This window comes from Homo sapiens, chromosome 1 (genome assembly GCF_000001405.40).
Source record: "Homo sapiens chromosome 1, GRCh38.p14 Primary Assembly".
Lineage (NCBI taxonomy): Eukaryota > Metazoa > Chordata > Mammalia > Primates > Hominidae > Homo > Homo sapiens.
The window spans coordinates 107,559,655-107,577,636 of NC_000001.11; the positions used below are offsets into that span (position 1 = coordinate 107,559,655).

Below are 17,982 nucleotides of genomic sequence, written 5' to 3' on the forward strand. Positions count from 1 at the left end.
AACTTCCACCAAGAATCCACAGTGTTTCTTTAATAAGGCGTATCTGATCATTTCTCTTTTCTGCTTGTTTTAGTCAATTTTGTGTTGCTAGAACAAAATACCCGAACCTGGGTAATAGATAAAGAAAAGATATTTATTTGGCTCATGATTCTGGTGGGTGGAAAGCCCAAGATTAGGCAGAGATCACATGGTGAGAAAGAAAGCAAGAGAATGAAATCAAGGAAGCCAGACTCTTTTTAATAACCTGCTCTCATGGTAACTAATCCATTTTCGAGAGAGCAAGAACTCACTCACCACCAAGGAAGGGCATTATTCTGTTCATGAGGGATCCATGAGGGATCCACTCCCATGATGAAAACATCTCCCACTAGGTTCCACCTTCTAATGCAGCCACACTGGCAATTAAACTTCAGCATGAGTCATGGCTGCAACAAACCACATCCAAACCATACCACTGCTTCAGACTCGCCACTGGTTTTTCAAAACATAAAATCTTAAGTCCTTTCCATTACCTACAAGGTAATGGAAAGATGACCTACAAGGTCATCCTGGACCAAGATGATCTGGTTGAAGATTAGCTCTCTAACTCATCTTACGCCAAGAGAGGCTTTCCTTGACTAGCATATCTAAAGCAGCACTTTGCTCATATACTCTCCTTCCTTTGCTTTGATTTTTTCATTGTATTTATCACTTCCTTATATTATGTAATGTATATTCATTTACTGTCTATCTCCCTGTTCTTTCCAATATAAAGTAGGCTCTATAAAAGCAGAGAATTGTCTGTTTTGTTAACCATGTATTTGCAGCACCTGTGCCATGGGTTAAGTACTCCACAAATTCATTAAATAAATGGGAGGTGTTGGAGAGTTCTAAAAAATGAAATGAAATTATATAATCAAAAGATTAGAGGGGGGTGGGAAGGGAAGCAGGGATGCCAGTTAGGGGCTCTTGCAATCATCCAGGTGACATGAGATTGACTGGGACTAAGGTGAAAGAAGTGGAGATATTAAGAAGAGAATGATGCAAGATTTATGCCCTTCAAAGTTGTCCACCTACTTTTGTTTGAGCCTCAGTTCTCTGTCCCATTTACAAATTTGATTCCATGAAGATGTATCATGGCCAAATATTTATTGAATGTCTTCATGCAGAATAATAGGACGTTAGAACTGGAAGTGGGCTTGATGTCTTCATTCTACAGATGAGAAAACCGAGCCTTAGAGAGGTTGGGGGTTCCACCCAGAGCCTCTTGACTCATTAGTGGAAGAATCAAGAACTAGAATCTGGTTTGCCTTATTTTCATTCCTGTGCTCTTTCCACTTCCCCAGCAGTTGTATTGCAAAATTACTTTGGAAAAACTATATGTACTTATAACGTATTAAGAACTTTGAAACTGCTAATTGTTGTAAAAATAACTTGCCATATGATTACAAAAGTTCAACTTAGGCCTCTTGCACAATTTTAATTGTATTTTGGGCTGTGCTGAGAAGTCCCAAGAGGACACAACAGATTTTCATTTGCATCTTTCCACCCAACAGCTTCAAACTGATAGTGCAGCATTCAATGTATCATTCCAGGATTATTAATTTAGGGTTTGTCCACTCCCCCTTTCCTGGATGCCCCTCCTAAATATCCACTCAATGTCATCTTTGAGGCAGGAATTTATAAATGGGATTATGTCCAGTATTTTAAGGACATTGCAAAATAAACTACGTAATGAGTGGACCAGATAGGCTGCATAAAGGTAAATAAAATAATTTTTCACACTAATGTAGATTCATTGCATCACATATTATTAATGTAAACTTTATCCTTCAAACCACCTAGCAACAATATCTCATCATTAAGTATAATAAATGCTGAGGGCATTTCCCACCTCTCTATAAAACCACAGCACATTTTTTTCTCCCTTCTTCATATTACGCAGGCCTAATTTGCACAGAATCCAGAAGTGTTTCATTAATTCACTTAAATAGGTTGCTTTTTCCTAATGAGCTTACCTACACAGAAGTACCTAGGAGCTTTCCTCTCCTGGCGGGAAGACGTGTGATTCTGACACATAGGGTGAGAAAAAAAAAGGGTAATTCACTTGGGGCTGATGGCCTAAGAAGATGACAAATACATGGGTGGAAGTGGTATTGTTTCTATCAGCATATACTTGAATTTCTAGAAAAGTTTGGCCTTTGTTTACACCCCCTGAGGTTGAGCAGGACAGAGACAGGCTGTGGACACATCTGTCCCTAAGTATAGCGTCTCTCTGGCTCACTTTCCTCTTCCCATGCTGCACCCGTTCCCTAGTAATCTCTGCTGAAGTATTTGTATCGTTCAGCATGCACTCTAATAACATGAGGATATAAGAAAGAGAGCTGTTATGGATTTAATTGTGTCCCCTTCAAATGCATATGTTGAAGTGCTAAACTCTGGTACCTCAAAATGTGACCTTATTGGGAAATGGGGTGGTTGCAGATGTAATTAGTCAAGACTAGGTCATACTGGTGTAGGGTGGGCCCCTAATTAAATATAACTGGTGTCCTTATAGAAAGGAGAATCTTAGACACAGAAACACACACAGGGAGAATGCCATGTGAAGATGACAGTTATGCTGCTGCAGCCAAGGACTACAGAGGCCAGGAGAGAGCCTTGGAACAGATCCTTCTTTAGTGCCTTCAGAGAGGGCATGGCCTGGCAGGCACCTTGATCTTGGATTTCTGACCTTAAGAACTGTGAGACAATAAATTTCTGCTATTTAAGCCACTGGGTTTGTGGTACTTTATTATGGCGTCCCTGGCAAACAAATACAGGAGCTATTATCAAAGAATGGCAGTGTGTTGATTGCACGGGTCTAGCTCTATCTCAGTCCACAGCATCCAGTGTGAGCTTTCTGAAATGTAAATGAGATCACCTCACATCCCTGCTTAAACGCTTCCAGTGGCTCCTGTCACCCTCTTTTCCCTGTCTATAAGATCTACCAGATCTGTTCCAGAAAGCTCTCTTCCTTTTCACCCTCTCCAACCACACTGGGCCCTTGTGGCTCTCCAAACACTAAGCACTCAGATATTCATATATTTTTTTCTATTCTCAAATTAGGTCTCTGCTAAAAAAAATCATTTCCCCATAAAGCCTTCTTTGATCACCATATTCAAATAACATTTTCCTTGCTTCTTCTTCTTTTTTTTCTCCCTCAATAACACTTACCAGTGCCTAACATTATGTACCTGTGTCTTGCTCATCACCATCTGCAAGCAGATAAGCTTTTCATGGGTAGGAATTGTGTCAGCTTCATTGTTGTATCCTCAAAGGCTAGAATTATAGAGTTCGTAGAAGAAGCTCAATACACATTTGTAGAAGGAATGAATGAAAGAATGAAGGAATGAATGATTGGCCACATACTCTGGGATTTTAGAGTTTTACATTTTCAACAGCTACTTCCAGGGCATGCCTGATTGCCGTTTCCACTTTTCCCTGTGATCCTGTGAGATGGAGCCTGCATCTCACATATTGGACACTTCTCCCACACTTCCTCTCTCCCCCTTTCTCTCTCCCAAAAATTTGAGCCTCAGGAAAGGCATTTCCTAAATGAGGAAAGGGGCAAAGAAAATGAGCTCCCCTGGGGACAGCTCCTTCTCTTATGCATCCTTTTATTCCCTGCAGAGGCTGGTATAGAGTGGGTTCTGTAAATACTGATTAAAGGAATCAACAGGAAATGGTTTTTTATGAAGGACTACATTTTAGATTCACCTAAGTTTCTCTGAAGTAACCCATGCCTTTCAGATAGGCCTCATCTTTGGCTCCAACGACCATTCAATGCATCCATCTGTTGTAGGCAGCCAGTAGGATGGCCCCCAATAATCCCTTTGTCCTGGTGTTCATCCTGTGTAATCCCCTCCCCTTGAGCATGAGCTGGATTTAGTAACTCAACGCTAAGGGATAGAAAAGAGCTGAGTGCTGGGCTGTCACTTCTAAGATGGTTATAAAAAGACTAGCTTTCATCTTGAGTGCTTTTGCTCTTTCCCTCTTGGATGCTTATTTTAGGAGAAGCCAGCTGCCATGTTGTGAGGCAGCCATGTGGAGAGGTCCACAGGAGTGAACTCAGGAGCAGACTCTCCCCCAGTTGGGCCTGGAGATGACTGCAGCCTGGCTGACACCTTGATAGAAGCCTCATGGGAGACCCGAAGTCAGAAATACACAGCAAATCTGCTCCCGGATTTCTTACCCACAGAAACAGTGAAATAATAGATGTTTGCTGTACCCAACTGCAAAGTTTGGGAGTACCAAATTTGTTGGGTAGCAGTAGATAACTGATAGATGGTGCTCTGGTAGAGCATTTGATTTTGGCTCCATTTGTGCATCATTTTGAAAGGATTACTAATGTGAAAAGATAGCTCAAGGCCGGGCGTGGTGGCTCATGCCTGTAATCCCAGCACTTTGGAAGGCCGAGGAGGGAGGATCACCTGAGGTCAGGAGTTTGAGACCAGCCTGGCTAACACGGTGAAACCCTGTCTCTACTAAAAATAATAATAATAATAATAATAATAATCATAATAAAAAATAGCCGGAAGTGGTGGCGGGCACCTGAGGCAGGAGAATTGCTTCAACCCAGGAGGTGGAGGTTTACAGTGAGCCGAAGTCGTGCCATTGCACTCCAGCCTAGGCGACAAGAGCGAAACTCCTTCTCAAAAAATAAATTAACTCAAGAGGTCTTCCAAAGGCTAATATATACATTTAAAGGGAGTTTTTAACATATCCGAGTTTTTAAAATTCGTAACACTTATTTTTGTATATATATTTAAAGTAGTGGCCAAAATGCAAGTTTAAACTGTCTTGTTTACTGAATGTCTACTCTCTGCCAGACAATCTTCTAAACATTTTACAGCTGTGGCTGGGAGAGGTGGCTCACGCCTGTAATCCCAGCACTTTGGGAGGCTGAGGCGGGTGGATCACCTGAGGTTGGGAGTTTGAGACCAGCCTGACCAACATGGAGATACCCATCTCTACTAAAAATACAAAATTAGCTGGGTGTGGTGGCGCATGCCTGTAATCCCAGCTACTCGGGAGGCTGAGGCAGGAGAATCATTTGAACCCGGGAGGCGGAGGTTGCCGTGAGAGGAGATTGCGCCATTGCCCTCCAGCCTAGGCAACAAGAGTGAAACTCCGTCTCAAACAAAAAAAACATTACAGCTATTATTATTATTTCATTTAATCCTCACAAAAACCTCCTGAAGTAAGGTGCTATCATAACCCATTCTAACTATGCAGAAACAGAGGAACAGGCAGTGTAAGCATCTTGCCCAAGGTCATACAACTAATAAGTGGTAGAGCCATGATAGTCTGGTTCCAAAGCCTTAACCACTAGTCTATATTGCATTTTAGACAAAAAGACAGATGATACAGATTAGTAAAACATGTCAAATAGCCTTAAAAAACAACCCTAGTGTAGAAGATTTACTAAACTAGGACAAGATTTTTCATGATTAAAAGATGGGATGTTGTTAGTCTGTAATGAATTCTCAGAAGGATTATATGAGATAAATGAGATAATATACGACAAATACCTAGCATACTGTCTGGCAGATACCAGTACAAAAAAAGAACAGCCAAAAGAGAAAAGGAGATGGACTATAAATTATCGTCGGAAAAAAAAATCACTTTCTATAGGGAGGTCATTTGGATCACAAGAAAATCCACAAGCTTCATCCTTGTCTAGGTAGCAGGTTGATAGGTGCAGCAAACCATACGTGGCACATGTAACAAACCTGCACGTTCTGCACACGTATCCCGGAACTTAAAGCAAAAAATAAATAAATAAATAGGAAAATCCACAAGCATTTACTGATCAGACTCCCGAGTCATTACTGTTCTTATTGACACGTTTCAAAGTCATCAAGACAGGTTGATAGCAAGAGGTGCAAGGATTGTGACTCAGTCATATTCTTACCTGATCTAGGATCCCAGCAGTCACCCAGAATGATTCCCAGAAGAAAGGCCTTAAGAATGGAGGAAATAATACTGGAGTCAGAGGGTCCTGAGTACTGATGTATGACAGAGGAATAGAGACAGCATTTATTTGACTTACAGCTGAGACACCCATGTTTTAGTCTTTACCTTGACAGTATTTTCTATCTGCATGACCTTGGGCAAGCCAGATCATGAATTGGACACATTGGCTCTTCTGGAGTCCACCTTCCCTCCTATTCAGGACTCTCAACGTGGATCGCAACATCCATTAGAGGACAGGGTGTGAAGTGACTTTTGTGTACACTGTGTTTCTGCACTGAGGACTCTTCCCATCTGGCCATGTGCCTGGGTCATCATTTGTAGTTGCATTGTGCCTAGAAATTCAGGGACTTTGACAGCCAGTGTCTAGAGTGCTTCAAAAGGAGTTTGTTTTCTGTCACTGTTTCCCTCGATCTGGTTTAATCAATGGCACCGAACGAGAGACAGAATTCCTTTATGATATCCTTTCTGGGACTTGTTCATTACTTAGAATAAGGTGGCTTCCAAACCACCTTATTACTTAGAATAAGGTGCCAGACCAGATGTGGGTGCGTAACATTTCTAATCAGAGTCCAACCAATCACAGCAAACTAGTTTTCAGTGAAAAATGAAGTGACTAATGGACTCAGTCTAAATGATTATGAGCTGAGTAAAAATTCCATTTTCCTAGTCAAAATAATGTAGAGCTGTTAAATTCAACTTCTGAGATTGTTTGTGGGTTTGCATATTAATCTTCCTGAACATGTATACTTTTTACTCTGTCCATAATTTAAGTGCAGAAAATTAAACTATATGTAAAAAACAAAGCATGGACTCCCAATAATATTCAAAATAACGGCAGCAAGTACATAATTTGATACCTGAGTATCTTATCTTTCATAAAGGGAGGGAAACCAATATTTCTTGCATACCTACTATGTGTGAGGCTCTGTACTAGGGACCTTTTTCATATGTTATCATTTATTCTTCACAACAGCTCTCTCAGGCACTTTTAATGATCCCTTTATTACAGAAGAGGTAGTGGATGCTCCTAAAAGTTAGTGGCAGGGTTGGGGTTTGAACCCCGGTCTGACTGATGCTAAAACCCTCCTTCTTCCTATGAACAAATAGTTTAATTCCCATCCTAGAAAGGTTAATTTCGAATCTGCAGAGTTTTTCTCCTCAATCCAATAAATGAGCCTAATTTATGCTAAAGAATTTCAAATATTAAGATGCCAACTATCCAAACTTGTCAGCAAACCCATCTGACAATCACAACAAGGATGATAATGACAAATATGGCTTTGTATATGCCAGCCACTGTTCCACTTTATGTGGATGATCTCAGTTGTGTCACACAACCGTTCTATGAAGTAGGTGTTGTGGTACTGATTGGTGGAGGTTCTGCATGGTAGGGATGAGATATAAACTGAGACAGTCAGTCTGACTTATAGGGCCATACCTTTTCACTCTTCTGTACAGCTGTCAGATTAAGTAGAACAAAGCAAGATGCCTCAAAACTAACTACCAGTGGCTGGGCATGGCGGCTCACGCCTGTAATCCCAGCACTTTGGGAGGCCGAGGTGGGTGGATCACCTGAGGTCAGGAGTTCGAGACCAGCCTGGCAAACATGGTGAAACCCCGTCTCTACTAAAAAAATACAAAAATTAGCTGGGCGTGACGGTGGGTGCCTGTAATCCCAGCTACTCAGGAGGCAGAGGCAGGAGAATTGCCTGGACCTGGGAGGTGGAGGCTGCAGTGAGCACAGATCGCACCATTGCACTCCAGCTTGGGCGACAAGAGAAAAACTCTGTCTCAAAACAAACAAACAACGAAAAACTAACTACCAGCATATTTTACTTCACTCATTTGGTGGAAGACAAAATACTTGTTACAAAGCTGTGTTCCCATGTTAACTAGCAAATAAAGGGAGCAACGGTGAGTACAATTGGCAGTGGTGAGGACGGTGATGAACTGATACAAGGTCTAACAGTCACGTAATGTTAATATGTCAAAGAGAAGTGATAAAGATACCAACGGAGTTGGCTCCTCAAATAATGGATTCAGGGCTGTATAACCCACTGTATCGTAATGAAAATAAGAGGAATTTTGTGTTTGTAGCAAGGTTGTGATGGTGAAGTCAAGCAGAAGCTACCACCATGGCCTTTCCTGGTCCTTAGAAGGAATGAAGTGATTCCACCCTCTCCCTAAGACAGACTCCATCACTGTGGATTATCAGCTGGCCTGCTCCACCAAGGGAAACTTGACTCCAAGCCTCTCTGGATTAGCAGCCATTTTCTAGTGCAAGAGTGAATCAAAGTAGAAACGAAAATTCAATCTGATACTAATCTCTCTAGGCAATATCTTTTTTGGGTTTTCTTTTAGGTGGCAGGAATAGTGGCATATTTCTGAATTCTGTGTTAACCTTTCATTGTTCAAACCACTGTTTAGTATCGTATAGTTTCTTCTCGGTTATGTAAGTTTAAAAATGTACGAAATCTCTCTCTTGCCCTACAAAGTGTGGCAGGATAGGGTAGTGGTTATACGGACTCTGGAGCCAGACCACCCAAGTCAGAATTCAGCTCTGACACTTAGCAGCTGTGTGACTTTGGGAAAGTTGCAACCTCTTGATGTACCTCAGTTTCCTCATGTGCAAATGAAAATATTATGGGGTTCTACCTTTGGGGGTTGTTGTAAGTTGGTGCAAATAAAGCACTTAGAACAGAGCATGGCACATGGTAAGCATGCCAATACATGTTATTGGCAACTATTGAGTTTACCTTGTAGTTCACTGTTCATAACTTAGGCAGCAATCCTGAGCTAAACTTAAACAAAATTAGGGCTTAATCCCCATGTTAATTATGGGGCTGGTGTATGTGTGTTATGGGACTGTGGGGCCTGTCAAGATAGTCCTTCTAAGGTAAAGGGTAAGTTGCTGCATTTGGCCCCTCCTACAACCAAGAAAGAGGCACAATGCCTAGTGGGCCTATTTGGCTTTTGGAGGCAACACATTCCTCATTTGGGTATATTAGTCCTGCCCAATTATCAAGTGACCTGAAAGGCTGCCAGTTTTGAGTGGGGTCCAGAACAGAAGGCTCTGCAACAGGTCCAGGCTGCTGTACGAGCTGCTCTGCCACTTGGGCCATATGACCCAGCAGATCCAATCGTGCTTGAGGTGTCAGTGGCAGATAGGGATGCTGTTTGGAGCCTTCGGCAGACCCCCATAGGTGAATCACAGTGGAGGCCTCCAGGATTTTGGAGCAAGACCCTGCCATCTTCTGCAGATAACTACTCTCCTTTTGAGAGACAGCTCTTGGATTGCTACTGGGCTTTGGTGGAAACTGAACATTTGACTATGGGTCATCAAGTCACCATGCCACCTGAATTGCCTATCATGAACTGGGTGCTTTCTGACCCATCTAGCCATAAAGTGGGTCATGCACAGCAGCATTCCATCATCAAATGAAAGTGGTATATACGTGATCGGGCTCGAGCAGGTCTTGAAGGCCAAGTAAGTTACATGAGGAAGTGGCTCAAACGCCCATGGTCTCTACTCCTGCCACCCTGCTTTCTCTTCCCTAGCCTGCACCAATGGCCGCATAAGGAGTTCTCTATGATGAATTGACAGAGGAGAGAAGACTAGGGCCTGGTTCACAGATGGTTCTTCATGATATGCAGGCATCACCCAAAGTGGACAGCTGCAGCACTACAGCCCCTTTCCAAGACATCCCTGAAGGACAGTGCTGAAGGGAAATATTTCCAGTGGGCAGAACTTCAATCAGTGCACCTGGTTGTGTGATTATATACTGATACGTGGGCTGTAGCCAATGGTTTGGCTGGGTGGTCAGGGACCTGGAAGAAGCATGATTGGAAAATTGGTGACAAAGAAATCTGGGGAAGAGGTATGTGGATGGGCCTGAGTGGCCAAAAACTGTGAAGATATTTGTATCCCATGTGAGTGCTCACCAATGGGTGACCTCAGCAGAGGAGGATTTTAATAATCAACTGGCTAGTATGACCCATTCTGTGGACACCACTCAGCCTCCTTCTCCAGTCACTCCTGTCATCGCTCAATGGGCCCATCAACAAAGTGGCCATGGTGGCAGGGTTGGAGGTTACACATGGGCTCAGCAACATGGACTTCCACTCACCAAGGCTGACCTGGCTACAGCCAGTGTTGAGTGCCCAATTTGCCAGCAGCAGAGACCAACACTGAGCCCTCGATATGGCACCATTCCTTGGGGTGATCAGGCAGCTAGCTACCTGGTGGCAGGTTGATTATATTGGACCTCTTCCATCATGGAAAAGGCAGAAGTTTGTCCTCACTGGAATAGACAATTACTCCAGATATGGGTTTGCCTATTTTGTATGCAATGCTTCTGCCAAGACTACCATCCGTGGACTCACAGAATGCCTTATCCACAATCATGCTATTCCACACAGCATTGCCTCTGTCCAAGGCACTCACTTTATGGCTAAAGAAGTGTAGCAGTGGGCTCATGCTCATGGAATTCACCATCATCCTGAAGCAGCTGAATTGATAGAAAGGTGGAATGGCCTTTTGAAGTCACAATTACAATGCCAACTAGGTGACAATACTTTGCAGGGATGGGACAAAATTCTTTAGAAGGCCGTGTATGCTCTGAATCAGTGTCCAATGTATGGTACTGTTTCTCCCATGGCCAGGATTCAAGGGTCCAGGAATCAGGGGGTGGAAGTGGAAGTGGCACCACTCACCATCACCCTAAGTGATCCACTAGCAAAATTTTTGCTTCCTGTTCCCGCGACATTCTGTTGTGCTGGCCTAGAGGTCTTAGTTCCAGAGGGAGGAATGCTGTGGATATGGGTACAGCCGGGCGCGAGATTTACACCCTCTCCCCCGCACTTTCAAGGGCCCTCCAGAGCTCACCAGATGCCGCTGGAAGCGCGACGCTTTCCAAGGCGCGGACCCCTCTCTCCAGGCGAACCCAATTCCAGGGCGCCCTGCCCTTCACAAGGAGAAAAGAACTCTCCCCGGGGCTTCCATTGGCTTCTCTGGGATCCTTCGCATTACTGTGCTGGACGCTTGGCAGTGTCCATCTCCGCCACTCCGGATTCGGGATCTGAACCGGACTCCCTTTCGATTGGCTGAGGGCAACAGAGGCCATCGCCTGTCCATTCAGAATGGCGCTCACCTATTTCTCAGGACCGAATGACCCATGTCCAACTGCTGTTCACATGGAACCCTTCTCCACTTCGGCCTTTGAAGTTCTCTTTAGAATATGTGCTACTACCACCAACATCTGCACCTGCGGCGGCTCTGCCCGGGCCCAGCCCTGGGCTTCAAGACTCACCGCAGCGGCCCTCCTACTAGACGCATAGCGTCCACGGGGCTGGCGGGCGGGGGGGTGGTGACCTCCACACATACACTGCTTCTGTTCACTCTGGACTGCTGGCGATGGCCTGGTACAGGCCCAACAATCCAGTGCCATCCATTTTCAGGGGAACCCTGACTAATACAGGGATCATTCAATAAAAAGACTCCAACTCTTAGAAATCAATTTAGTCACTATTTATTATATTGACATATTTACAAAATAATACAAAGTGAAATACCACTCTAATTCACCGTATTACACGAGGGCTGCATACAGGCAAGACAAAGTATATGGAAAACATTTACTTCTGTCTTTGGTATTAGAACTCTACACAAATCTGCAGCATTTAAATTTTCCAAAACAAAGTATTAAACGTGGACAAAGATGTAATTGGTAATGTCACAAAAAGGGGCTCCAATATCCTCTGCTAGGAAACCCCCAGGCCCATGAAATGCAACAGGAAGACTAAACACCATTTATAAGGAGAGGGTCTATTGACTAAAATAAACAATACATGCTACAATACCATCCACAGGAGTGTTTCTGCTTGTGTGAGGCTGCTCCCTCCATAACAAAGTTCGGCTGACGGCAACAGACAAAACATTCCCGAGACAGAGTCGCAGATAAGACTTTACAGGAAAGAATCCATTCCAAGAGTACACTTTGAGGTGTAACTTTATTGTACAGAACATTTTATAAAATACATTTTTGTGATCATTTACACATATACAAAGACTTAAATGGTTTTAGCAAATAATAATTTTTCTAAAACACAATCACAGTTTACATAATTCTGAGGTAAAGGTCTTGAATCTATCCTAGATGAAAAGTCCTAGCCCATGAGGGTCTCTAACAGGGGGATGTGTCCACTGAACCTTGAGTTCTGGCACCCAGACGGATTGATGAGAGGGCAGGCTACACCTGCTTCATTTCAGAGATGATTCAAAATTTCAGAACTTAATGCTCCTGGTTCAGTTCTACTAAGTTAATGCTTCTTTTTTTTCCCAACATGTAACTCTCTCAGTCTTGTCAGAACACAACTTCTGCTATGGAGGAAATATTTCCATCAGGAAAGGGCCAAGTTAGTGTCTTAACTTGACTGCCTTGAATGGGGACTCTGGACCCCAGGAAGAATGTATTTAGGCTCCTCACAAAAAAGAGTGATGGCTGGGCAAAACAAATGTACTGCAAGACCCATCTTCCCTCCAGTTAATACACTCCCAGGATGGGCTGCAGAGGGGGAGACTCTGAGAGAAGCTGGAGGCCCACAAAAGTCCACTGACCCTCTTTCTGTCCCAGAAATGAATAAAGGACCCAGTTGTGCTTTCCTTCCAAAATCCTCAACAAAGTTGTTTGTGCTCCAAGAAAATGTGGGAATAAAAAAATCATGTCCCAGGTCATCTTTGTGTGTGTGCGGGGGAGGTGGATGGGAGGAAAAGGCATGTATTAATAGATACTGCTGCTATAAAATGACATAAATTATAGCCCTTGATCTGTTTCTGTAAACAATGCCAGCTTCTTCAGGTTATTGGCAACTACCCTTAATATACCTAGCCCAGATCCTTTCATAAAGTCAAGTGCTATATTTCCAAAATAATCCTATGAAATCATGAAGGTTGTGAAGGTTTAATATGAAGACACCCTCTCTTTTGTGTGCTTTTTTCACCTTTTATAAAGAAGTTTGCAAATATAATCAGGACACCAAATAAGTAATTAAAACCCTTCAGGGATAGCTCACTTATGATGCAAACCTGAGCACTGGCCTCATATTTTATAATATCATGAGTAACATCTGAGGGTAAAAGTGTTTGCCGGGCAATGAGTCACCTTGTTGGACAATTTAAGACAAGTAAGGCTGGATCTTTCCAGTAAGCTGCTCAAATGGCAGAACTCCAATTTTTCGTCATGCTGGGAAAAGGAAAATTACACTTCTGCTTCTTTGTACCATCAAATAATCTGGTGAATGGCATGTGAGAATAAAGCAAAAGTGTATTAAGATTTACTGATGACTGGCATTCATGGTATCTGACCAGAAGAAGTAAAGGGAAGCACGAACCAATGTGTTTGCAGGGCTCTTCTGGGAAGAACAGCTCTTGGTTTTGCCCTGGTCCCTGACAATGACAGACTGGCAGGCTGTTTCTTGCACAGCTCTAGGCAAGCCATTAATCTGTCAGTACCAGCATCTTTAGAAATCTCAGCATTAAGACTTAGGAGGGGCTAAGGAGGGAGGATGTTGAACAGCCAGAAATGCAGCTTTTTAAACACTTCAGTTAATTCACGATGCTGTGCAGGCTTCTATTTATCCCTTCTCTGAAATTTTTGGTGCAGGGTGCAACACGGGATTTGAATTTATTCATCCTCTTCCACATATGTGGATGGAAACCAGCCCACCTAAAAAAGAAAAGCAACCAACACAGCAACATGACTTTGTATCTGACACTTCAAAGGATTCTACAAACAGAGTATTTTGTTTTCATAACACCCCAATTAAACTGGGGTTTTATGTCCATTGTAGGTGAGAAGATTGGTTTAACTGCTCTTAGAAGCCTAATAGAGTAAATGATCGAAATGGAGGAATAAAATAAACAGTGTTCTAATCCACTAGCACACAAATAAATATGTAAATTAAGTATAATACAGGGGGGCTCTGCTGCATAATGATTCCTATTTCTGCTGTAGAACAGGATGAAAAGACAGAGGTACTATGTCCCATTCTTTCCAATTTACATCAGCAGTTCTTATAGATATTTTGCAATACACATAAAGTTTAGCTCTATGGCTCAGGGTCTAAAAAGAACTGAAATGCTCCTCGACTCTTTTCCAAGCAGCAAGCTGTCCCACTTGCCCAGGTGAATTTTATTTATGTCACTATCATATTCATTTCAAATATTTTCAGCGAGTCCCTGGTATCAGCAAAACACAGCACCAGTTTCCAGAGGGCAGAGGCCTGTGGGCTGAAAGCTGTAATACAGTATAGAGGCTTCTCCCTGGTGCCACAATGGGTGCAAACAACTGCTCAGTCCCCTTCTTTCACATGCACCAGCACATCGAGAGGGCCAACTTACCCTGCCATTTACTTCTCCTCTCCACCAGCCATTTGCACTCATCTTTGTGTAAATCTTCACCACATCTCCTTTCAACAAGGACAACTCTCTCATATCTCTTGCACAGAAGTCATACCGAGCGATGGCAATGCCCAGCACTTTTGGACTTAACACTGTCAAGAAATGACAAGCAATGACAGTAGGTTTGCAGTTCGTTAACAACCATAACAACCTAATCAGATGAATGTTATTGATGCTATCAAATGCACAGTCGTGATTTCATTACAGACCAGCGATAATGGCAGAGGAGCTTGAAAGCAGCAGAATTGCTGTTTCAATTCAATCAGGTGCAAGCAAATTCGCTTCATAAGTTTAAAGAACCATTGTCCTGTTTTTCCATTCTTCATAAGAACCTCAATCAAAGTAAGGACTAGTTTTTATAAAAATGAAACAAAACAAAACAAAAAAACAAATTAAAAAAACTCGTTAATATCTAAGTATCTAAGGAGATAGATTCTAAAATAATTTCATCATACACTTCCTATTGATGGCCCAGTAATCTAACCAGCACCTCCAAGGTAAAGCTTTATGTTTTTATCCAGTAACTGCTTTAACTAACACTCAAAACAACGAAATATTTTGCTCTGATGTCAGTCTCTTGTCAAATCTATGTTATCACTTCTGGTTAAGTGGCACTTTCTTCCCTAACAAGGCTTTCTATGTTAAAACTATTTGGGGATAAATTTAGTTATTGTTTTCTATATAATTCACCTAAGTGAAGAGGTGTGAATCAGGTCTCAGAGAAGGAACACACAAATACCATCTATATTTTCTTTCTTTGAAACAAATACTGCCTTACAGAAAAACTTTACTGATGTATCTAATCAAAAATAAGATGTCAGGGTATTAAATATCCTGTGTTCAGAGTTGAGTTTCTCTGTGTGTGTGTGTGTGTGTGTGTGTGTGTGCGTGCGTGCGCGCGCGCGCGCGCACACGCGCGCGTGTTTAATATTCGATGGCAGGAGAGGAGCTAACTTTCTCCCTGGCCCTGCTGGCCCTGTTCTGAAAAGAAAACTCCATTCCAGTGGTTCATGTTTGTTAGTCTCTAGTGTTTCATGGCACGCTTTATATTAACTTCTCTACCTGTTGCTCTTTGGGGTTATAAAGTGTTTTCAATTATATGTTCAGTGATTCTGAGAATCACTCATCGGAGGTTGGTGAAACTTTATAAATCTTAAATGGTAAAGGAACTTAAGTGTAAGAAAAAGAGACAAATGGGAAACACCAACCATCTGTATTTTTAACAGTTCCCAGGGCTCAGGCAGCAGAAGTTATGACCTGTGTTACCCTGGAAGAGCCTGCCCACTTGGCCACAGGGATCTCTGACCTATTATTCATGGCTTTGTAATGACAGAAATTTTTTTAGACTCCAGGTGTCCATCACGAAATAAATGAATGGCAATACTCTAGATTTCAGAACTGTAAAGGGAGTAAAAATAGGTCATTTTGTTTTACTGTTCAGGACACAAACCACTTTAATAGCTTTCTCACTGAAAACTGTCCCATTACTGGGGCACTACTGTTAGAGTCGGTGCACATAAAAACACCCCTATGATGGAAAAACCCAATCATCAACTGTGTGGTGACCTTGCATAGGTCTCCTAACCCCTCAAGGCCACATTTTTTCTCATCTATGAAATGAAATGTTTGTACTAGATGACTTCTAAGTTTTTTCTAGTTTTAAATTCTATGATTTTTATTGGGATGTGCAGGTTAATTTTTAAAAATCGGTCAGAAAACAGACTTTATCTAATGTATACCCTAAATGTCATGTAAATAGCCATTAAACTCTCTGGGTAATGACAGAAATCAAGACCAAAATGCCCATGCACAAACCGAAGAACTGCAGAATTCATGGGCGCCAGTCATCTTTTCAAGTAATGTGTACTGAATTTTACTTTTATATTTGAAAACAAAGTTGGGATTTTATTTCTATTTATTTTCTTCATGAAAATACATAAACATTGGCTTTTTTCAACTAAACTTTCTGGTCTTCAAGAAAAATAATGATTTTATAGATTTTTCATCCCCCTTTATACTTTCAGCCCCATCCCTCTGCAAACTCTCCCCAACAGATAAATTATAGAATGTCTCATGGCATGAGCACACACACAAACACCAGAGGAGTGAAATGTCATGATGAACGGTGACTATGACAGAGAAGAGTAAAGTGCATGGTGGTAATGGAACTCGAGGGATTGTCTGTGAGGAGATGTATCCGTATGAGAAGCCATACATGGAACTCAAATATTTTATTTGCAAGCAGAAGCAAGTTGAAGAGACAAATAAAAGTAGTAAAGCAGTACCTGACCAGAAAGGAGTGGAAGAAGGGGGAACAAAGCTGTAGTCTGGAGGAGTTACAAAAGAAAAGCCACAGAACAAAGAGGGGGCTTTGAGAAAGAAAGAAAAAGAGAGAAGCAAAAGAGCATTTAGGTATTGGCAAAAATATCTCAACACAACCATTTTCACCCACTTCTTTCCTATCACCATTTCTAAATGAAGAACAAGCCAAACTTTTACATTTTGATAGACAATAGTATTTTGCAATTCAGAGCTGTCTATCCTTTTACAGGCAAACACAGAGAATACCCACTCCACATTGCCATCTTTGAACCCCATCCATCCAAGGATGGCCAACAATGGCCTCATCCTTTTGATGTGGTGCCCAATTCCCACTTTGTTACATCAGTGGAAAGGGGTAACCTGTAGATGCTTACTGTAAAGTAATCCTTCACATCAAAACTATTATAAAGAAAAGCCTGTAAGATGGTATCAATGAAACATGCAGAACCCATGGAAAATTCAAGAAAATTATTCATACAATTTGTTACAAACCACCTCCATCCTCCCAGCCAAGCATGCACATCCCAGCTTATTTTCAAAAGGAGAAAAGTGCAGTTAGAAATGAAAACCACTCTGACTCTTATAGCTGGAAAAAAGTAAATACATCCTCCACATTGTAGAGATGTACAGAAAAGTTACATGTCTATGGATGCTCTAAAACTTTCATTTTACTTTTAATATAAGAGCTAATCACATTTATCAAATGGTTTTGAAGTCTTAGGTACCATGCTGAAAGTGCCATACTCAGTATTTCACTTAATTGTCACAGCTCTAAGAGGAAGGTACTAATATTATTTCCCCTTTACATATGAGAAAAATCTGGACTCAAACCTAAGTGATGTGACTCCAGGGTACCTGCTCTTAGCGACTGCTGCACTACTGTGCAACTGCCACTCTGCTTCAGGCACCTCCGCAGGCAGCTATATAAATTGACCTGCTGATACTATGGTGCCACTGCAATGGAAAAGGAAGGTGTGGTTGTATACTTTCTCCCAGTATTTATTCTCCCCTTCTTTCATGTCTTAGATTATGCATTGGGCTATGTTTGCCTAGAGAGAAGGCTACATTTCTCAGCCTCCCTTGCAGTTCGGTATAGCCATACAACCAAGTTCTGGCCAATGGAATATAAACAAAAGTGTCATGAGACAGCTTCTGGGACCTTTCCTAACAATACAGTGGACACACGCCTTTGCCTTTCTTTTTGGCTC

The 17,982-nt window shown here is 42.1% G+C and overlaps 1 protein-coding gene across 9 annotated transcripts in view; it reads right to left on the reverse strand.

The window, feature by feature from the left end:
- Positions 1-11,506: 11,506 nt before the first annotated feature.
- The window catches only part of VAV3 (vav guanine nucleotide exchange factor 3), a 394,020-nt gene continuing 387,544 nt past the window's right edge, over positions 11,507-17,982 (reverse strand). For all 9 annotated transcript variants that reach the window (XM_017000053.2, NM_006113.5, XM_024450319.2 and 6 more), the window contains 2 exons: positions 14,393-14,544; positions 11,507-13,718 (listed from right to left, as the gene is read on the reverse strand). In XM_017000053.2, coding sequence (XP_016855542.1) covers positions 13,677-13,718; positions 14,393-14,544 — 194 coding nt within the window. In that variant the 3' untranslated portion in view covers positions 11,507-13,676. The remainder of the gene's footprint in view (positions 13,719-14,392; positions 14,545-17,982) is intronic.